Source organism: Homo sapiens, chromosome 2 (assembly GCF_000001405.40).
Source record: "Homo sapiens chromosome 2, GRCh38.p14 Primary Assembly".
In the NCBI taxonomy this organism is placed as follows: Eukaryota; Metazoa; Chordata; class Mammalia; order Primates; family Hominidae; genus Homo; species Homo sapiens.
Window position 1 is genome coordinate 1,274,847 of NC_000002.12, and position 23,168 is coordinate 1,298,014.

A 23,168-nucleotide genomic window follows, 5' to 3' on the forward strand; every position below is an offset into this window, starting at 1 on the left:
AGTGTTGCTGTAACAGAATAGCTGAGGCTAGGTAATTTATAAAGGAAAAAGGGCTTATTTAGCTCATAGTTCTGCAGGCTGGGAAGTTCAAGTGCATGGCACTGGCTTCTGACCAGAGCTTTCCTGCTGAGTCCTAACATGCAGTAGATCAAAGAGGAAGCCGACATGTGCAAAGGGGCCAAATATGAAGTGTGTCCTGGCTTTACGACAGCCTATCCTTGTAAAAACTAATTCATTCCTGAAAAATCTCATCCAGTCTCCAGAGAGGGAGAACTCTCTCACTACCTAGAGAATGGCAGCAAGCCACCCACCAGGGCGGAGCCATCATGACCCAAATGCCCTGCATTAGTCCCCACCTCTTAAAGGCTCCACCTCCCAACATCCTTACCTCGGCAACTACAGACTCAGCTTGTTTTATTGTGCTTTGCTTTGTTAAGCTCTGAAGATACTCTTTTTATTATTTATTTTTAATTGAAGATTTAAGGAAACCCTGCAGTAAGCAAATCTATCACTGCCATTTTTCCAGCAGTCTGTGCTCTGTCATGTCTCCATGTCTCTGTCACATTGTGGGAATTCTTGCAGTATTTCCAATGTTTTCATTATCACTATATCTGTCACCGTGATATGTGTTCAGTTTTTGTTGTTACTGTTGTAATTGGTTTCAGGCACCACCAGTGTTGCTCATATAACATGACAAACTTAATCAGTCACTGCTATGTGTGTTCTGATTGCTCCACTGACCAGTCGTTTTCTCATCTCTCTTCCTCTCCCTGGGCCTCCTCATTCCACGAGACATAACAGTATTGATATTAGGCCAGTTAACAACCCTGGAATGGCCTTGAAGTGTTCAAATGAAAGGAAGAGTCACATGTCTCTCACTTTAAATCAAAAGCTAGAAATGATTAAGCTTTGTGAGGAACACATGTCAAAAGCCAGGACAGGTCAAAACCTTCTTGTGCCAAATAGCCAAATTGTGAATGTAAAGGAAAAGCTCTTGAAGGAAATTAAAAGTGCTACTCCAGTGAACTCATGAATAATAAGAAAGCAAAACAGCCATACTGCTGCTACGAAGAAAGTTCTGAACAAGATCAACGTGCTGAATAAGAACAAACCAGCCACAATACTCCTTTAAGCCAAAGCCTAATCCAGAACAAGGCCCTAGCTCTCTTCAATTCTATGAAGGCTTAGAGAAGGGAGGAAGCTGCAGAAGAAAAACTGGAAGCTAGCAGAGGTGGGTTCATGAAGTTTAAGGAAAGAATCTGTCTCCAAAACACTGAAGTGCAAAGTGAAGCAGCAAGTGCTGATCAAGAAGCTGCAGCAAGTTCTCCAGAAGATCCAGCTAACAACACTGATAAAGGAGGCTACACTAAACAATAGATTTTCCATGTAGACGAAACAGCATTCTATTGGAAGAAGATGCCATCTAGGAATTTCTGAGCTGGACAAACGTCATTGCCTGACTTCAAAGCACCAAAGGACAGGCTGACTCTCTTATTAGGGTCCAATGTATATGGAGACTTTAAGTTGAAGTGAAGCTTCATTTACCATTCTGAAAAGACTAGGGCCCTAAAGAATGATGCTAAATCTACTCTGCCTGTGCTCTATAAATAAAACCACAAAGCCTGGATGACAGCACATCTGTTGACAGCATGGTTTAGTAAATATTTTAAGCCCACTGTTGAGACCTACTGCTCAGAAAAAAAGATTCCTTTCAAAATATTACAACTCATTGACAATGCAATTGGTCACTCAGGAGCTCTTGTGGAGATGTCCAAGATTAATGTTGTTTTCATGCCTGATAATACAACATCCACTCTACAGGTCACAAGTCAAGGACTAATTTTGACTGTCGAGTTTTATTATTTAAGAAATACATCTCATAAGGTTATAGCTGCCATAGATAGTGAACCCTCTGATGAGCAAGTAAACTGAAAACCTGGAAAGGATTCACCACCCTAGATTTCATTAGAAACATTTGTGACTCATGGGAGGACATCAGAGTATCAACATTAGCAGGAGTTTGGAAGAAGCTGATTCCAAACCTCATGAATGACTTTGAGGGATTCAAGACTTCAGTGGAGGAAGTCACTGCAAATTGATAGAAATAGCAAGAGGACAAAAATAAAAGTGAAGGCTGAAGATGATTGAATTGCTGCAATCTCAGGATAAACTTAGAACAGATGAGGAGTTACTCTTATGGATAAGCAAAGAAAGTGGTTTCTTGAGATGGAATCTACTCCTGGTAAAGATTGTATTAATATTGCTGAAATGATAAAAAACATTTAGAATATTCCATAAAGTTAGCTGATAAAGTAGCAGCAGGGTTTGAGAGAATTAGCTTCAATTTTGAAAGAAGTTCTACCATGGATAAAATTCTATCAAACAGCATCACATGCTACAGAGAAAGTTTTCATGAAAAGAAGAGTAAATCGATGAGGCAGACTTCATTGTTGTCTTATCTTAAGAAACTACCACAGCCGCTCCAACCTTCAGCAGCCACCATCCGCATCAGTCAGCAGCCATCAACATCCAGGCAAGGTCCTCCCTCTGCTAAAAGAGGAAGACTCACTGAAGGCTCAGATGACCACTAGGTTATTTTAACAATAAAGTATGTTTAAATTAAGGTGTGTATATTACTTCTTAGACATAATGCTTTGCATACTTCATAGATTACAGTATAGTGTAAGCCCAATTTTTATATGCACCCAGAAACCAAAAAATTAGTAAGACTTTTTGCTTTATTGTGACATTTGCTTTATTGCAGTGGTCTAGAACCAAACCTATGCTATCTCCAAAGTCAGCCTGTGAATTTCAACATGAGTTTTGGTTGGGATAAACCACATCCAAACCATAGCAGGGAGTCAGGCTTTTCCACGTGATGCCAGGGAAGAGGCAGCTGGTGACATGCAAGCTGGGCACCTGCAGGAGGTTTTTGTGCAGGGCTATGCAGGGGAGGAGGGAAGACAGCCCAGTGGCTCCTCAGAGGGCAGCAGGGGCACAGCCTCATAGACAAGCTCCATGGAGATCCCACCGGAAGTGTCCGGCCCCACTCCAGGGTCTCCATGTCAGTGGGGTTTCCATCCTCTCTGGAAAGGCGGGGAAGATAACGCTTTTCTGGTTTTCCAATGAGTAGCATTCTCTCTGACACTTCGTGGCAAGTATTAACTTCACCACATTACTAAAATGGTGATTATTTCATTTATCAAATGTCATCAGTTAATCGGTAAAATTTTCTTATAACTGGGACATCTCTTTCGGTTCCAAGCAAATCTGGAACTACTTTTTGGTGAATAAGTTTCACGGTATAACATGCACTTCACCTGCTTAATCACAGTACACAAGTAACCTCATTTTGGGACAACTCAATCAAGTAACTGGCCATGTCAGTTAATGCAACATATTGTTTATGGAGGGCAGAAGGTGTTAGTGAGGTGTGTTGTTACCTGACCATGTCAGTTACCGCACCAGGTTGCTGTTTATGGAGGGTACGAGGTGCTAATGACGTATGTTGTTATCTGACCATATCAGTTACTGCACCAGGTTGCTGTTTATGGAGGGCACCAGGTGCTAGTGAGGTCTGCTGTTACCTGACCATGTCAGTTACTGCACCATGCTATTGTTTATGGAGGACAGGAGGTGCTAGTGAGGTATGTTGTTACCTGACCATCTGCTAAGTTCTTTTATTTAAAAAAATTTTAGATTCCTTACGCATCTTACAAGCCTCAATTCTGTTTTTCTTGCTGCTTCCTGTAGTAGGCCTCCCTGCAGACTTCATGGCCATTTCTAGTGCAGTGGTAGTCAAGAAAAGAAATACCAATGCTTCTTTCTCTTTTGTCAGAACGAAGAGCAAAGAAAACCCAAGTGAAGATGTAAAGCCTGTTTATGTAAGTGTGACATACAGTAGTCTCCTTTCAATTCTGTTTTGCTTTCTGAGGTTTCAGTTACCCGTGGTCAAACGTGGTCCAAAGATATTAAGTGAAAAATTCCATAAATGAATAATTCCTAAGTTTTAAATTGCACATCATTCTGAGTACTGTGATGAATCTCGTGCCACCCTGCTGCATCCCCCCGGGACGCGAATCACCCCTGTCAGTGCGCGAATCACCCCTGTCAGTGCATAACACCCTGTCAGCGCGCGAATCACCCCTCTGTCAGTGCGTGAATAACCGCTGTCTGTGCGTGAATCACCCCCTGTCAGTGCGCGATTCACCCCTCTGTCAGTGCGCGAATGACCCCTCTGTCAGTGCGCGAATCACCCCTGTCAGCGCGCGAATCACCCGTCAGTGCGCGAATCACCCCTCTGTCAGTGCATCCAGGCTGCACACCACCCAGTAGTCACTTAGCAACGGTCTCTTTGATCAGATTGACTCTTACAGCGTTGCAGTGCTTGTATTCAAGTCACTCTTATCGGATGTAGTCATGTCACATAAGGGCTACTGAAGTGCAAGAGCAGTGATGCTGGTATACAGTAATAATTGTTTTATTATTCATTTCTATTACTAATCTCTTACTGCACCTAATTCACAAGTTAAACTTTATTGCAGGTATGCATGTATGTAGGAAGAAACATCGTATAGAGCACAGATAGGGTTCCTTACCTCCATGCTTTCAGCCATTCCCTAAGGGTCTCGGAATGTAACCTCCTTGGAGGAGCGGGGGCTCCCGTACAGGAATTAAGGTTTTGTGTGGGGGCTGTTTTGGTCTTTCTGAAGGCTATTGCTTATATCATTTTTCATGTGGTTTGTGCTGTTTTTTTGTAACCAGAAAAGTTTTCTTTCATTTGCTATATCTGTACCGCATCTCTGATGTGCTGCGTGCTTTTTGCGATGTTTTCAGATGGGAAGTTGGCTGGAGTAGGTGCTTTTCTCCAGCGGTCAGTCAGGCATCCACCTAACCCAGGGTGACCCTCTCAGGATTCCAGGACCGCTATTTCTGGGCATTGCAGTTAACATCCAGCTGCGAAGCAAAGTCTTTTCTGAGCACCATAGCTAGATACATTGTATATGAGAGAGACTGATGCACATGCTGCCTTTTTAAAATTCATAAGTGGCTGGGAAGATCGTTTTGAATAAGTCACTGAACCTTCCTAAGAATTGGTGTACTTATTTCTAACATGATTACTGTATCTTTGCGTGATATTATAAAACTTAATTAATTGATGTTTATAAAGCACTTCACATGGAAATATGCAAAACATAATTTTCTTACAAGCTTAAATTAATTTTCTAGATAAATTTTCAAAAAAATCTTTTTTGAATTATTTAAAAAACCACTATTGTTAATGAGTTTGAAATATGATATAGAATAATACTACAAATGTATTTTTGTTTCTCCTGAAAAAAATCAAGAGAACCTAAGAGAAAGTCAGGTGAAATATTGAATAACATTAGATTAGAGTAGATTTATGGGGTCATTAAAAGACAATTATTTGTTACCAGAACCTCCAGTTTAATTACACAATTAAGTTTTAGATTGTCTTCATTATGTACATGAACCTTATCACAATTCTAATTTACCTCATCTCTTTCAGAGCTGGTTCAGCAGCCAGCTTTATTTTAAGTTAAAACCACCAAGATAATTGTGTGGCTTCTGTTGATGACTCTTAAATGTTTCGTTTTCCTTAAATACACAACAGTTGCACAAATGGCCTGGGAAGGGACTGGCCTTGGGGGGACCCACTTGATTCCTTTTGAGCTTCTCCAGCTCCTCTCAGGAGAAGCACCAAGGTCAGAGGCTCCTGGGACTCCTCACCATTTTGGAGCCTCATCCAAATTTATGTTAAAATTCAGCTTTTCCTTAAAATTGTTATTCATTCGCTTAAATCCTCTCTGTAGTGTATTCTCAGCCACTGAAGCAAATTACGAATTACAATAAATTCACAAGTGACCTCATATTAAAGTTATTGAATGCATTCATTTACAAACTTTCTGAAAGTATCTAACTGATGCCTATTATTCTACTGCTAGTGCTTTGCTTTTAATAAGTGTATTGTGTAATTATAGAAACTTTATATAAAGTTTGTCAAATCCGATAATTACTAGTTTGCATATTCAAACTCAGATATTCACAAATGAAGTTATATGCTGCTGCTGTGCACGTGGACACGTAGCTAGCTATTCAGGCTCATGGGAAAGGCCTACTGGCCCTTATCTAACATCGGTGCCCACTTTACTCCAAGTAGTTTTTTATTCAGTTGTGCTTGTCGCGGGGTCAAGTGTCTTAGGGGTGAGTGTGATAAATGCTGAAGGGTCTTGAAACTGGGAATTCATGAGTGGATAAAACCAACACTCACTCTCCCGTCTTGGAGGCTGGGTAACTGTGTGTGTTCTGTGGTCTGTGGTGGTGTGTGTATGTGGTGTGTGGTGTGTGTGTGTTTGTGTTTATGTGGTGTGGTGTGTGGTGTGTGTGTGGTGGTATGTGTGTGCTTGTGTATTTGGTGTTTATGGTGTATATGGTGTGTGGTGTGTGTGTTTGTGTGGTGTGTGTGTGTGGTGGTATGTGTGTGCTTGTGTATTTGGTGTTTATGGTGTATGTGGTGTGTGGTGTGTGTTTATGTGGTGTGTTGTGTGTGTGTGTGTGGTGTGGTGTGTGTGTGGTGGTATGTGTGTGCTTGTGTATTTGGTGTTTATGGTGTATATGGTGTGTGGTGTGTGTTTATGTGGTGTGTTGTGTGGTGTGTGTGTTTGGTGTGGTGTGTGTGTATGTGGTGTGTGTGTGCACAAGTGTGCATCCATTATCACAGTGTACATTGCAGGACACGTGTCCCGGACAGCAGAACACGTCCCCAGAGTACCTGTTAACCTGGCACTTGCTTTGCTGCCAGCCATGGCTGTGATGAAGGTGAAGGTATGTTCCCTGTCACTCAAGCCTCTGCATTTAGTAAAAAGCAAATTGCACCTCAGGAGACAGCACTGGAAATGGTGATTTAGTTCACAGACAGGGGACCCTTGCCCTGCCTGAACATTTGTGGAAGCGGACACTGGCCCCACCCAGCACAAGCACCCCACACATCTGTGGAGGGAGGCGGGCAGCATCAGCCACTGCACCCCCGTCCGTGTCTCCTCAAGCCCGGGAGGAGGTGGATGGGCTCACGGCCGAGCCTTGTGACCTTGCTACCACTTCTGGCATTGTTTCTATAGGAAAATCTCCTGACTCTGAAAATCTGGCTTGCATATAAACATCCAGCCTTATAGCCTGCCTGGAGCTGTCAGTTTTGCATTATCAAAACCGTAATAAATATTAAGATCATATGGATGTGTTTTAAACGTGTGCCCACCTTACTTATTGGCTTTGGTATGACTACAGTAATGTCCTTCCCGTGGCTCTTTTTCCAGACACCTGGAGTGAGTGTGGGATTCTCTTCCGCAGCGAAGTGAATTGCACTTGTAGGGGAGTAGTTTACGTGCACCGCCGAGTTTCTCCAAATATAAAAGCCCATTTTCATTCCATACTACTAGCACAATATAAATACTATATCCACCATTGTCTTGTGAGCCCTTAGATGAAGTTAATTTCTTCCTTTTGGAATTTATTTTGCATTTATTATTCATAAACTTACCTAAATTCTTTCAGCTGAAAACATCGTTGATCAAAGAAACGCTACTGCATGCTTTGGAAGTCAGAAATGCACCCAACACATTCAGAAGGCCCAGCTTCAGGCTGGGCTGAGTGGCATCTGTGCTGGATGCTTTTTAATTATAATCCCCAAAATTCTACCAAACAGGGGAATCCAGAGGCAGTATCTGCAAGGTCCCGCCAAGCATCACTCACAATAACGCCGCCTCCCCCGCACAGCGCGTCCCTCCGGGAACTCCCCCCGCCCCCACGTCAGTGAGCTGGGCGCTCTCCAAGGGCTGCCTCCCCCGCACTGTGCATCCCTCCAGGATCACCCCCGCCCACCCCCGCCCCCACGTCAGTGAGCTGGGCGCTCTCCAAGTCCTGCTTCAGTCCCTGTCTCGTGGCTTTGACTGATACGATAAGTAGAGCGCTGGCATTTCCTGATGGTCCCAACACGTCGGCCTACGAAAGCCAGATGAGCTCCCTTTGCTCACACAGATGCCGTTTGCTACAGAGAACCTGCACATCTATTTTCTAAATTAAGATCAAAAATAGCCAAAAGGCACAAAATACAGATATCAAGACAGAAGTGGCCACGGAAGGTGAGTAGCTAAGCTCAGAGGATCCCAGCCTCTGGATTTTCAGTCTTCCATGCACCGCCCACACCTAGAAGGAAAATTCCTTCTCCAGGGTTTGCAGAGCCTGGCTGCAGCCATGGACAAAGCCGCCGTGGCCTGCTCCTTCCGGGAAAGGCAGGTGAACTGTGGCCTCCTGCTACTGCTGCCGCCCACGCCCTAACTCCTCAGCCGCATCCCTGCACCAGGCTGGTGGTCACCCTCCGAAGTCACCTCTCACCAATCTTCTTGGCCTGACCCCTGCTGGGCCCGTGCACACCCAGACCCCTGCCAATCCGGCTGCTTGGGACCGGGGTGCCCACCCCTTTGCCTCCCTTTGGCCAACATGGAGGCTTCTCAGCCCCGTGGCCCTTGTGCTCATCAGCACTGACAGTCCCTTGGCTGTAAGGTGTCTCTTGTCCACTGCCCAGTTACAAATTAGTCAACGGAGCTGCTGTGCACCTGCAGGGCATCCAGAGCTGCCTGGACAGGGCCCACAGTCCCCTCCTTCCCAGACCTGCCAGGCTTGTCTGAGGACCGACTGTGTCCAGGACACCGTTCACCCTGTCTGCCCCTGGGGCTTTCTGTCCCACACCCTGCATCCCAGCCTGGATGCCCTCTCCTCACCACAGCCTGTGTGTGGCCCTGGCTTCTCTGTGTCTTCCACAGTTCTCTGTGGACCTCCCTCTCGCATGGGACGTCCTCGGGACCATCACACAGTAGGTATGCCCGGTCATTCGTATCCTGCTCCTGCAGAAGCTCAGCAACTGTGGAGGCGGCTTTTCCTGAATTAAAGCGAGTCTTGGGCATGGATAACTACCTGGGGAATAAACAGTTAAAGAGCCCGCTGTCTTCTTTACCTATCCAAATATAAAATAGAGCTGCTGAGAGAAACAGGGCTAGAACATTGGTGCTGCACTGTGGCTGGGAATTATGTTTGACAGCTTTAAACTGAGTACCTCACGGTAGATATTTGAAAGTCCCCGCAGTGAGCCGCCGACCTGCCGTTGTGAAGAATGATCCTGAGTATTGCTCTTGGTGCCTGTGAGCTCCTGTGAATCTCCCCCGGAAAGATGCTGGAGTAGGGAGCGGGCTGCAGCTGGCAATTTATTTCTCCAAAAGCCATTATGGCTTAATTTAATTCGATTGGAACTAAGAGCGCTGGTGGTAATGTTTCTATTTCTGCTCCGTCATTCATTTCAGGGCTAATCTAATCCTTCAGTTAACACCTCCATCCTGGGAAGAGCATGGCCAAATTAGCTTTTATTAATTGTTTACATTGTAACGTTCCCTCTCTCTCCAACTTTTAGCTGTTCAGATTCTGGCGGGTGCTGATAGGAAGGCGGCAGCCAGTTGAACCTGGAAATGTGTGAGAACCACAAGTCCAGCATTTTTCTGGGATGCGAGCTCGGTGATGGCAGGGAGATTCTGTCTTGTTTTTCTTTGGAACCCCAGAGTCTCCAACGTATCACAGTCAAGCACCCCTCGAAAAACTTACAAAACCACCCAAAAAGAGAATATATTTCTCACCATCTACTTTCCTTTGATGGAGACGCCAAACCAATTGTTTTTTTAGTTTGCATATGGGGCCCTAAAGGATGTCATGTTTTCTCTGAGTAAGGCAAGATTAAATTGGCCTTATCTTTTAAAATTTCACTTAAACATATGTTTATACAAAACAAGTAGAAAGTTAAAGCTGACGTCAACTAAATCACCAATTCTAAATACTGGAACCATATTATATTTCTAAAATAGACATTTGTGTTTGTAATTAAAATATTCAGTTTTGTTTATTAATGACAAACATTTATTGCACATAGGCTGTGTGTCAGGTTGTAGGAAACCATATACTTACTGTATTAGTCAGGGTTCTCTACAGGGACACAATAGGAGATCTATCTATCTATCTCATATTAGTTTTACAACTCTATATAAATATAAATATAACTATATAAATATATATATGTATATATGGGAGTTTATTAACTCACACGATCACAAGACCCCACAGTAGGCCATCCCCAAGCTGAGGAGCAAGGAAGCCAGTCCGAGTCCCAAAGCTGAAGAGCATGAAGTCCCATGTTCAAGGGCAGGAAGCATCCAGCACAGGAGAAAGATGTAGGCTGGGAGGCTAGGCCAATCTAGACTTTTCATGTTTTTCTGCCTGGTTTATATTTGCTGGCAGCTGATTAGATGGTGCCCACCCAGATTAAGGGTGGGTCTGCCTTTCCCAGCCCACTGACTCAAATGTTAATCTCCTTTGCCAACACCCTCATAGAAACATTCAGGATCAATATTTTGCATCCTTCAATCCAATCAAGTTGACACTCAGTATTAACCACCATAAGTCCACCCCTTGTCAACTTGAACCCATATACATCTCCTGAGATTATACATAATCTTCAAATAAAGACAATCATGTCATAATTACACCTAACATAATACAACTTTCCTTGGTAGGACTGGAAACGCACCAATCCCCAACCCAAATACTATCACACAAAGTTAACAATACTTAAATGCTGACATGAAGGCAATAAATCTAATGTCACATGATAAAGGAAAAAGAAATAAAATGAAGATATTTTCTTAGTACAAGTGTATACATGCACAAGTATGTTTTTAACAAAAGAAGGAGGAAATGCTCATGACAATTACAATCCCCATTTCTGCATCTGGTCACATGGTCATAGCTGGTATTAATGACTTCCTTCTTCTAATACCCATTCTGTACTCCTTTTGCCTTCAGCAAGCACCTCAGCAGGTCGTGTTTTTTTTTCCTGATGGAAAGACCCAAACCTTCATTCCTGAAGGGTCTGGACCATTTGTAGTCCTGCCTGGATTGGGCTGTTGTGGTTTCCCATTGACCTTAATCATAGGGCATGGTAATACCAAGAAATGCCTGAATGGAGCTCCTGCATTCCTTGCGTACTCTTCCTTACCTCTGTTGTGGAGTAGTAGACTGATTTCATCTTGATACTCCAGGTCAATCGCCCCAGCCAACACTGTAACTCCTCTCTTAGCCTCTTGACTTAAAGTTAGGAGAAGCCCAAAGTGTCCAGGTGGCAATCTTAACTTCCAGTTTAATGGAATTGTCCTTGTGTTTCCTGGTGGCAGGGTTCCTCCTTCTGGAACTAAGACCTCTAGGACAGCAGAACATAATGTCGAGGGAACTGGAAACAGAAATTTTGCTAGGGGATCACTAGGGGTGATAGTGAGTGGTGCCACTTCCTCTTCCACCCCTTGATTCTTGGACCCGTGAATCCTGGCTATGAGAAAAACAGTACCATATATCAAATGCTGATTCAGAGCATACATGGTCTTCTGGAGAACTTTGCCCCTTCCCTGCAAAGTATTGTCACCTAGTTGGCATTGTGACTTCAAAAGGCCATTCCACCATTCTGTCAATCCAGCTGTTTCCAGCTGATGGGGAACATGGTAAGACCAGTGAATTCCATGAGCATGAGCCTACTGCCACACTTTTTCAGCCATAAAGTGAGTGCCTTGGTCAGAGGCAATGCTGTGTGGAACACCATGACAGTGGATAAGGTATTCTGTGAGTCCACGGATGGTAGTCTTGGCAGAAGCATTGCATGCAGGATAGGCAAACCCATATTTAGAGTAAGTGTCCATTCCAGTGAGGACAAACCTCTGCCCTTTCCATGATGGAAGAGGTCCAATATAATCAACCTGCCACCAGGGAGCTGGCAGATCACCCCGAGGAATGGTGCCATATTGAGGGCTCAGTGTTGGTCTCTGCTGTGAGCAGATTGCACAGACACACCCAGGATCAACACTTTGCATCCTTCAATCCAATCGAATTGACACTCAATATTAACCATCACACTTGCTCTGAAGAACATTCGTCAACAGGTTACCTGAGTGTCACTGTGGCTGTCATGACTTGCTCACTGAAGGAGGCAGACATGCTCCTGTGCACTTCCTCGGCAGGCTCTTCACTCTTTCAGAATGAGGGGGCTGGTGAGACCAGGTGTGTTCTCCAGGTGGACACACAGCTCAGAGACAAAGCTTGCAGAAGGGCAGGCGTGTTTGGAAGGAACTCTGGGTTGGGGAGGAGAATATCTTTGCTCACTCTGTGCTTTTCCCGCCGAGGAGTCACAGCTGAGTCACCTGCCCCTCATTCTTCATTCCTTCCTTCTGTCTAAACAATGAGTGATTGTTATCCACATTTAAGGAATGTTGGAAAGACTTAAAAATTGTGAAAACTTTTGAACAATTTAATTTCTTTAGAGAAAAGCTGATAATTGGAAATAGAAATAGTCCAACAGGAGGCACCAGGGCCTCTGTGGATGCAGCGGGTGCTCCTTTGTCTGAGCCAACCTCGAGTGAAGTTGGAGGCTGGGTGAGTCCGGCAGCCTTTCCTTCTCACCTCACCTCTGTGCTGCTCTGACTGGTTTCTAAACGTGTTCACCACGTGTCTTGTTCATGGGGAAGCTGAACTGTGAACATGCCCCTTTATTCGAGAAATGAGCCCCAGCCCACACATTGCTTGGTGCTGCATCTGGTTGAGCAGGGGTGGAGAATAGCAGCAGGGGGCCCGGAGTGCTCCGTGCAGGTGGCAGAGTGACGGCGGAACGTGCTCCTGATGGTGACGCTGAACGAGGAAACCCTGAATAGCATGCGCCAGACAGCGAGCACTCGTCATTCTCATTGGAGGGCCGGGGCCACAGGAACAACTTCACGCGCTGACAGCGTGACCTGTTGTTTTCACCCTCTGGCCACCGCTGAAGAGTCTGCCGTCATGAAAAGGGCCCAAGCAGCATTTCCACTTGAAAATAAGATGCGTCCTTTTCCATCCATGGTTTTGTGGTTGCATTAATGGAAGGAGAAGCCTTCCCAGCTGTTGACTTTAAGACCCGAGAATGACCACCTCACTCACGCATTCCACACAGCATCGTGATGGACAGCCTGGACCCGGGGTGGAGCACCTGGGGCGAGCCCAGCTTCCATCCTGACCACCTGGAACCTCGGACAAGTTTTTAAGAAGTCCTTTGCCTCAGTTTTCTTCTCTAGAAAATAGGATAATAGAATTAATCCCCTAGAGTTGTTTTGATATTTATGAGTGATTGGTATTTATACAGCTTAAGATGGTGCCTGGCACATGGTAAATGCCATCCAACTTGGCTATTTTTACTCAGCAAGTGTTTTTTGGGCGGCACTTATGTTCTAGGCCTTGGAGAACCTACAGTGAACAAAACAGACAATTCTCTGTGCACAGATCTGACATCATATCTAGACCACTCAGAGCAATGTGTTTCTGGTTGTCTCATTTCTGCTACTTTTCATCAGGCACAAGGTCTGAGATCCAGCAAACACCATGTAAATCTCTGAAGGTCTGAAGAAGAAATTTGTATCGCCAAAAACATAAATTTAACTAAGTTAATGGTGCTCAGCTATCCTCCAAGATGGTCCACTTCCCAAGCTCACCGACAAGCTACAAACACACCACACCCACGCATTCACACACAGAGGCATATACATGGACATGTGCACACATGACACACACATGCATTCACGTGCACACAGGCCCATGCATGCAGGTATGCACATATACATGAACACACATACATAAGCATACATACACATGGGCACAGCACACACATGAAGATACATACATACATTTTTGTGCACCCTCACAGTTATGCATATGCACTTATATGTATGCCCACACACATGCAGACCAAGGAAAATGTGTGTAAACATGACACACCTCACACACATGTACACATGCACACTCATGCACATTCATGCAGGCATGTATTCACACATGCTCATGCCACACCCACTTTTGTGTACACACTTACACCTATGCACACACATGCAGCCTTTCCCCTGCCTACTCTTCCATCTCCCCCAGCCCCTGCATTTGCAGGTCATCCCCAGCCACACAAATCTGACTTCAGATTTCTGGTCTACTCTTACGCCTGATTCCTTTCAGCCTTGGCCTTTGAGATTGTTGATTACTGCTCCTTAATTAGCCTCTATTCCACGATCATCTTGATCATTTTCTGATTTTCTCACGGCTGTCCTCTGCTCTCTGCCATCATCTCTGCTTGGCTTGAAACTCAAGTGTTGGCATCACCTCTAGCATCTTTACTTCCTGCCACTAGCATTATCTTCAGAGATCCTAATCAATATCACACCCTTAGATATTCCAAATTAGCAATGATGCCAATCTTTACTTGTCTGCAGCTCATTCTGGAACCTCAGACCCACATCCCCAGGTGACTGGGGTCCTGTTCTCACCTTCAAAATGTCTCCTTCTGCCGCCGCCCTTCCCTCATCTTTCCTGGGGCACTGGGTGCTGCGTGCACTCAGCAGGAGCCTGCTCAGTCTACTCACTGCCCGCATGTGTCTCTCCACAATTTCTCTGACTGCCCCTTCCTCCGTCTCACTCCTGCCACCTGCTCTGTGTCTATCACTTGGCAGATCGTACCCTGGAAGCCCATGGCACACTTTGTGCACTGTAGGCAGCACTTAGCAAACACTGACATCCGTGTTTGCTTTGCGTGAACTCGTGCCTATTTGCACAGAAAATAGTCACGGGCCATACTCAAACCTGTAGCCATGTTTGGAGTAGGACCCTTATTTTAAAAATGTGGTGAAATATACATCACATAAAACGTAACACTTTAAAGTATACAGTGCACAGTCATTGAGGACATTCACAGTGGTGTTCAGCTGTCACCACCATCACCAGAACCCTGTCATCTTGCAAAGCCGAAGCTCCATTGCCACTAAACACCAGCTCCCCGTGCTCCAACCCCAGCCCATGGTAGCCACTATTCCACTCCCCGTCTCTATGAATCTGAGGACTGCAGATATTTCGTATGAGCAGACTCGTGCAGTGTCCGTCTGTTTGTGCCTGACTTATTTAACTTAGCATAATGTTTTCAAGGTCATCCCTGTTGTAGCATGTCAGAATTTCCTTCCTTTCTAAAGGCGAGTAATATTCCATTGTATGGATATAACATTTTGTTTATCCGTTCATCCTTTGATGGACACTTGAGTTGTTTCTACCTTTGGGCTGCTGGGAATAATGTTGCTATAAAAATGGTGTATTAGTCCATTCTCACATTGCTATAAAGAACTACCTGAGGTTAGGTTATTTATGAAGAAAAGTGGTTTAATTGACTCACAGTTCCACAGGCTGTACAGGAGGCATGGTTGGGGAGACCTCAGGAAACTTACAATCATGGCAGAAGGCAAAAGGGAAGAAAGCTGTCTTCACATGGTGGAGAGGGACAGAGAGGGAGCATGAAGGGGAAGTTCTACATCCTTTTTTTTTTTTTTTGAGATGAACTTTCACTCTCTCACCCAATCTGGAGTGAAGTGGCATGATCTTGGCTTACTGCAACCTCCGGCTCCCAGGTTCCAGCAATTCTTCTACCTCAGCCTCCTGAGTAGCTGGGATTATAGACATGCACCACCACACCCAGCTAATTTATGTATTTTTAGTAGAGACGGGGTTTTGCCATGTTGTCCAGACTGGTCTTGAGCTCCTGACCCAAGCAATCCACCCACCTTGGCCTCCCAAAGTGCTGGGATTACAGGTGTGAGCCACTGCACCCAGCTGAGAAGTACTGCACACCTTTAAACAACCAGATCTCATGAGAACTCTATCACAAGACAGCACTAGGAGGATGGTGCTAAATCATTAGAAACCACCCCCATGATCCAGTCACCCACCAGGCCTTAACTCCAACAGTGGGAAATGCAATACATCAGATTCTGGTGTGGACACAGAGCCAAACCATATCAATGGGTGTACAAATCATCTTGTAATGTCTCTGCTTTCAGTTATTCTGGGTGTATACACAAAAGTGGGATTGTTGGATCATGTGGCAGTTCAATTTTTAAATTATAAGGAGTTACTGTACTGTTTTCCATAACATTACAAAATTTTACATTCCTAGCAATAGTACACAAGGGTTCTAATTTCTTCATAGCCTCATCATCACTTGTTATTTTCTGTTGTATTTGCTTGTTTGTATTTTATAGTAGCCATCCTAGCAGGTGTGAGGTGGCATCTCACTGAGGTTTGATTTTTGTTTCTCTAATCACTGGTGATGTTGGCATCTTTCCACGTGCTGATGGGTCATTGATATATCTTCTTGGAGTAATGTCTATTCAGGTCTTTTGCCCGTCTTTTAATTGGGTTGTTTGCTTGTTTTCTTCTGGTTCAGTTGTAGGAGTTCTTATGTATTCTAGACATCAACCCCTTAATAGATATATGATTTACAAACTTTCACATTCTCTGGGTTGGATTTCCACTCTTTGGTGGTGTCCTCTGATACACAAAAGTTTTAATTTTGGTATTATTCTGTTTGTCTATTTTTTTGGTTGCCTGTGTTTTTGGTGTCATATCCAAGAAATCATTGCCAAGTCCAGTGTCATGCAGTATTCCCCCTATTTTTAATCACAAGAATTTTACAATTTTAGCTGTGACATTTAGAGTTTTGGTCTGTTTTGATTTAATTTTGGGATATGATGTAAGATAAGGGTTCCACTTCATTTTTGCAAATGGATATCCAGTTTTCCCAGCACCATTTATTGAAAAGACTGGCCTTTCTCCATTGAATGGTCTTGACAACTTTGTTAGGAATTATCTGAGCACCTATGTGAGGGTTTCTTTCATCGCTCTCTGTTCTGTTCCATTGATCTATGTCTTTCTTTATGCCAGTGCAACATTGTTTTGATTAATGTAGCTTTGCAGTAAGTTTTGAAATCAGGGATTGTGAAATCTCCAACTTGTTTTTAAGATTGTTTTGGCTATTCAAGGTCCTTGACATTCCATAGGAATTTTAAGATGGATTTTTCTATTTCTGGAAAAAGGTCTTTGGGATTTTGATAATGACTGCATTGAATTTGCAGATAGCTTTGAGTGGTATGGACATCCGAACATCATTAAGTCTAACAATCCATGAGCACAAGATGTCTTTTCTTCAATGGTGTGTTCTTTAATTTTTGTCATCAATGTTTTGTAGTTTTCAATGTACAAGTCTTTTTGCTTCCTTGGCTTAGTTAATTCCATATATTTTATTCTTTTTGATGCTATTGTAAATGAGATTGTTTTCTCAATATCCTTTTCAGGTTGTTCGTTGTTAGCATATAGAAATAAAACTGATTTTTGAGTGTTAATTTTGAATCCTGCAACTTTTTTGTGCAGGATTTGCTTAATTCGTGTATTCATTCTAACAGATTTTTTTTTGTTCTGTCTTTAGGGTTTTCTATATGTAAGAAAGTGTTGCTTGTGAACAATGATAATTTTGTTTTTTCTTTCCTATTTGGTTGACTTGTTTGTTTTTCTTCACAGTTGCTGTAGCTCGGATGTCTAGTATTGTGTGGAATATAATTGGCAGCAGTAGGCATCCTTGCCTTGTTCCTGATCTTAAAGAAAAAGCTTTCAGTCTTTCACTATTGAGTATGATGTTAATGTGGGCTTTTATATAAGGCCTTTATGATGTTGAGATATTTCACCCAATTTCTAGTTTGTTGGGTGTTTTATATCATAAAAGGGTGTTGAATTTTGCCAGTTACTTTTTTGCATCTATTAAGATGATACAGATTTTTCTTTTTCCTTCCTTTTGTTCACATGGCATGTTGCATTGATAGATTTTTCTATGTCAAACCATCCTTTCATTCCAGGGATAAATCTTACTTTGTTACATTGTACAATGCTTTTAATGTGCTGTTGAATTTTGTTTACTAGTATTTTGTTGAGATTTTTGCATCAATCTTCATAGGGGATATTGGTCTGCAGTTTTCTTTTCCTGTAGAATCCTTGTCTGGGTTTGGTATCAAGGTAACACTGACCTCATAGAATGACTGGGAAAGTATATCCTTCTCTTCAGGTTTTTAGAAGTGTTTGAGAAGGATTGGTGTTAATTCTTCTTTAAATGTTTGGTAGAATTCACCAGCGAAACTATCTGGCCCTTGGCTTTTCTTTGCTTTAAGGTTTTTGATTATAGGTTCAGTCCCATTGCAAGCTACAGTTTGTTCACATTTTCTATTTCTTCTTGATTTAGTTTTGATAAATTGTGTGTGTCACACGAATTTTTTCATTGAATCCAAGTTATTCAATTTGTTAGTGTAAAATTGTTTGTAGTACTCTGTTACTTTTTTTTTTTTTTTTTTACTTTTGTTAAGTCAGTAGAAATGTCCCCTCTCTGATTTCTGATTTTAGCTATTTGAATCTTCTCTATGTTTTATTTGGTCAATACAGATAAAGCATTGCCATTTTAAAAAATATTTTTGAAGAATCAAGTTTTGCATCCATTGATTTTCTATATTGTTTTTCTATTTTGTCTTTTTAAAAATTTCTTCTTTAATCTTTATTATTTCCTTCCTTCTTCTAGATTTGCGTTTAGCGTGTTTTTCTTTTTTCTAGTTTCTTAAGGTTAAAAGTTAAGATGCCAATTTGAGATCTTTCTTTTTTTAATATAAGCATTTTTAGCTATAAGTTTCCCTTTTGGCCCTAGTTTTACTGTGTTGTGTGAATTCTGGTGTGTTGTGTTTTTTATTTAGGTTATTTTCTAGCTTCCCTTGTGATTTCTTCCTTGACCCATTGGTTGTGTAAGAATGGGTTGTTTAAGTTGCACATATTTGCTGATTTTCATTTTCCTTCTGCTGTTGATTTCTAGTTACATTCCAATAAGTTCAAAAAAAAAAGATAATTGATAGAATTTTAATCTTTTAACATTTTTTAAGGCTTGTTTTGCGGCCGAGCATGTGGAGCGAACCTTGTAAAGTATGATATCTACATGGGAGAAGTGACCCTCTGGCAGGCTTCCTTTTGTGCACTTACTAGGAGTTAAAAGGACCAGCTTGGAAGACTGCTTTGATGCTGTAATAGTGCCATTTGGTTGATCCGAAACTGGAACCCAGAACAGTCCTCTAAGCCTGTGGACTAAGAACATTCAAGATGTTCCTGAACAGCCCAACGCTGGGGTCCAAGTCAGACGGTGCCACATGTGTTCAGGCTGGTCACCACCATAGCCTCTTAGCTGACCACTCTCTTCCCCAACTCTCTTTTGTCTCCACCACTCTGCATACCCCTGCAATCTCACCCTCTCCAGATCGTCTGTCCCTGAAGTCCTCAGTGGCTCCTATTTTTTGGAGGAGATGGAATGGTATGCTGAACAACTCCCACGCATGGGGACACTGGGGACAGACCCCATCCTTCAGGTCCCATTGGGGACAGACCCCAACCCTCAGATCCCATTAGGGACAGACCCCAACCCTCAGGTCCCATTAGGGACAGACCCCAACCCTCAGGTCCTGGCCATGCCCCTCCCATGCCCAAGGAATGCAGCTTTGAGAATTTCATCTAATCTCTCTAAACATGGTACATTTTATGTGCTCAAATGTTTGAGAAATGAATGAATTTATAAGAGAAACTTAGATTCTTTATCTGAAAAACAGAGATTTAGCTTTCTTAGGAGAAAGTAGATGAGTTTCTAGAATGATTACCTTAGAGGGACAGATGATCCAATTTATATTTAAAAAGTAGAAACTGGTTAAGATTAAAGAAATCTCCAATCAGAAATGCAGAAAGGAACTCACTCTCTGCTACTTCTTCATGTAAAGGGGTTCATCATCCATCTTGTAAGCAGGACATTGGTCTCCCAAACCACATGGACACAAGCACTTTCTGTCAATGGTAAACGGTCATTTCAGGAATCAGATATTAACATATGATGAGAAATTATTGAACAAAATATCTTAGCATCTTAAGAAACACAAACCTAAGTCCTCAGGTATATGAGGGAAGTGAGTGTCATCGTTTGCTTTATAAATAACACAGTGTCTGGAGGAAGAAATCAAGCCTGCAGAATCATAAAACCACTCGCTAACATAACACTCTACAGTTTACAGCCCAGGCACCCAGAGGCGAGGAAGTAGACAGTGTGGCTCGTCTTCTGACCTGGCTCCCTCTGGGATGAGGCGTTTGACGCAGGCTGTCTCGTTCACTCCCGCTGCGCTGAGTGTGAAGGATCCAGCTCTGCCCTGTGCGCATGGAGTGCTGGGGAGATGATGATGCTGGGGAATGACTGAGTGGGCAGTGTCAGAGTCTCTCTCTCATGCTAGGGTGGTGCCGCAGGGACTCTCGTGTGGCCATGAGCTCTGTGGCAACTCTGAGTTTCAGTGTTTTGAACTCTCAGATGCAGAGACTGAAGCGGCCACATGCTGGGCGGATGTAGTGTCTCATGCCTCAGTGTGAGGAGCCTGCATGGAGACAGGCTTGAGGATCCGCCTCCTGTCTTCTCCCCGTTCACTCTGAGGGAACTCTCTTCCCAGAATAATTTTTTCCAACAGGTGCTGAAACTTGTATAGGGAGAGTACCTTTTTTAATACAAAGTATCCGCTTCAGTAAGTTACCCATTTTAGTAACTTCAGTGTTTCTTAGTTTTAACCCTATTCCCAGAGGCATCTATTATAATAATACAGAGAAAGTGTAGCCCAGAAATGTAATGATTGAGGAAATTTCGAGTGACATAGGAATGACAGCCGTAGAGGACTGAGTCTCCAATGTTTGGGTGGGAGGGGCAGGCAGGTGTCACCATCAATGGCTTCCACTGTAGAAGGCTGAGTCTCCCATGTTGGGGTACGAGGGTCAGGCAGGTGTCTCCATCGATGATTTCCACTGTAGAAGGCTGAGTCTCCCGTATTGGGGAGGGAGGAGCAGGCAGACGTCACCATCGATGGCTTCCACTGTAGAAGGCTGAGTCTCCTGTATTGGGGTGGGAGGGTCAGGCAGATGTCACCATCAATGTCTTCCACTGTAGAAGGCCGAGTCTCCTATGTTGGGGTAGGAGGAGCAGGCAGACGTCACCATCAATGGCTTTCACTGTAGAAGGCTGAGTCTTCCATGTTGGGGTGGGAGGGTGAGGCAGACGTCACCATCGATGGCTTTCACTGTAGAAGGCTGAGTCTCCCATGTTGGGGTGGGAGGGCCAGGCAGACGTCACCATCGATGGCTTTCACTGTAGAAGGCTGAGTCTCCCGTGTTGGGGTGGGAGGGTCAGGCAGGTGTCTCCATCGATGCCTTCCACTGTAGAAGGCTGAGTCTCCTGTGTTGGGGTGGGAGGGTCAGGCAGACGTCACTATCAGTTGCTTCCACTTGGTAAGCCTCTGCCTCGCACCATGGCCACTTCTGTGCTAATGCTGATCTACTCATCCTGGAATTGGTTAGAATAATGACAGCAAGCACAGCTGCTGACCAACTGGGTGCTTATTGCCTACTAGGCACTGTTAAATAACGGTATATTTATTAATCATTTGATTTTTATAAAACTTATACATATTTTGACTGTTATTCCCATTTTTCAGATGACAGAGTGAGGGGCAGAGGGTTGCAGAATGTTCCCAAGGTGCCCCTGCCCCAGCAGCAGCCTCTGTGCTGGTGAGCACGCCGCTACCTGCCCCTTAGGCATACATTTCACAATTAGAGAAGCCTCTTCTACCCGTGTATTAGTAAAACTGAAAAATACAGGGTCTTATCAGTCCCCCACAGAGATAGAGGTTGACCTAGGCTCCTGGCCCACACTGGCCGGGCCTTTCCTGGTCACTCAGGGACCTCAAGGCATCTCCGTGTTCATGAATCAGTCACTGTTTGCATTTTCCTGCTTTCCTCCCTGGAATGACAGTCCCTGAGCAGCTCTGCCTTTGTGTAGGAACCTGCTTCCGGGTCAGCACAGGGCAGACTCCCCAGCACGCTCTTTAGGAACAGACCACCTTTGCTGAGAAAATCACCATCTTTGAAGAGTTCTGATATTAACGACAGTCTTGCTTTAGAAGAAGTTGCTGGGCTGACAATAAATTGTATTTGTAGAGCACAGGTAGCAATGCCCATTTTTTGCCCTTTTTGCTTCAATTCCAGATACAGGACACAGAAAATTATTTGACACTTTCTCAAGAAAGCAGAACAGAACATCCAGCCTCACAGAGATTCCGGGTGCCTAACTTCACTGTCCAGGGCACCAGCTCTATGTGCTGGGGATGTTTCAGGGGCATGTCCTTTATTTTCCTCCATACTTCCCTGAAGGAAGTAGCAGAAGTTTCGAATTGCCCCGTTCTACTGGAAACCTGCATTCCACCCACTGAAGGATCCCTGAGCTAATGCCCCCACTGCCAGCCTCAGGTTCCCTCCCACCTTGTGTATCTGCAAGTGAGGGGAATAAGCTTTTCTGTCTTCATGCAGAATCCATACTCATCACCTGAAGGTGGAGGATCCAGGCTGAACTTCAGTGCATGCAGTACACATTCATGTAAATATTTATTTTCAATGGAGAATGTAAACCCGTTACTTTGCCATCTGATATTTGGTACTTTGCACATCTCCATTAAATGTGTGCTGCTGCCTTGTGTCTATTGCATGAGCTATACTTGAGACATTGTCCACCTGTCACTAATAACATCTTGGAGTTGCACAACACAGGGGCTGCCCAGCCCGGCGCCTCTGCAGCTCCTTCCCATCAGCCCAGCCCTGCACCTCTGCAGCTCCTTCCCAGCAGCCCAGCCCGGCGCCTCTACAGCTCCTTCCCAGCGGCCCAGCCCGTCGCCTCTGCAGCTCCTTCCCAGTGGCCCAGCCTGGCGCATCCGCAGTTCCTTCCTGGCTCTTGTAGGTCGTTTTCCAGCCTTTCCCTGGAAGCATCAAGTGACAGGAAAGTGGCCCAGGAGCTCTCAGGATAAGAGCAGAGAAGGAAAGAATGGAAAAGAAGGTCCAGAAGGCAGGGATCTTGTCCTCGTTCCACGTTAGGACCATGTGATTTAGTCTCCTAGGAGACTCCATCTCACACTAGACAGGCAGAAGTTAACAAGTTTGAAAATACCGAGTATCAGCAAGGAACGGAGTAGTGAGAACTCCCAACCAGGGCTTGAGCAGGGCGCGTGTTGGTCTGTATGAATCTAGAAATGTGTGGAGCTGAGGCCCATTGCCCAGGGCTCTATGTGTTACAAAGAGCAGAGAGCTGC

At 44.0% G+C, this 23,168-nt stretch overlaps 1 protein-coding gene across 7 annotated transcripts in view, besides 1 other annotated feature; it reads left to right on the forward strand.

Annotated features, from left to right (window-relative positions):
* Nucleotides 1-23,168, forward strand: part of SNTG2 (syntrophin gamma 2) — a 416,765-nt gene that overhangs the window by 323,998 nt on the left and 69,599 nt on the right. The window contains exon 15 of one of the 7 annotated variants that reach the window (XM_017004365.2): nucleotides 3,839-4,104. The exons of the other annotated variants lie outside the window; for them this stretch is intronic. Within the exon in view, the coding sequence (XP_016859854.1) occupies nucleotides 3,839-3,865 (27 nt within the window). The 3' untranslated portion in view covers nucleotides 3,866-4,104. Of the gene's footprint in view, nucleotides 1-3,838; nucleotides 4,105-23,168 lie in introns of those variants that run through there. 7 annotated transcript variants of the gene reach the window in all.
* Nucleotides 8,291-8,585: a silencer, noted in NCBI's record as "tiled region #1386; HepG2 Repressive non-DNase unmatched - State 10:DNaseD, and K562 Repressive non-DNase unmatched - State 20:ReprD". NCBI's record gives its function as "represses a minimal TATA promoter and a strong SV40 promoter by Sharpr-MPRA in HepG2 and K562 cells {active_cell/tissue: HepG2 | K562}" and the evidence as "EXISTENCE:reporter gene assay evidence [ECO:0000049][PMID:27701403]".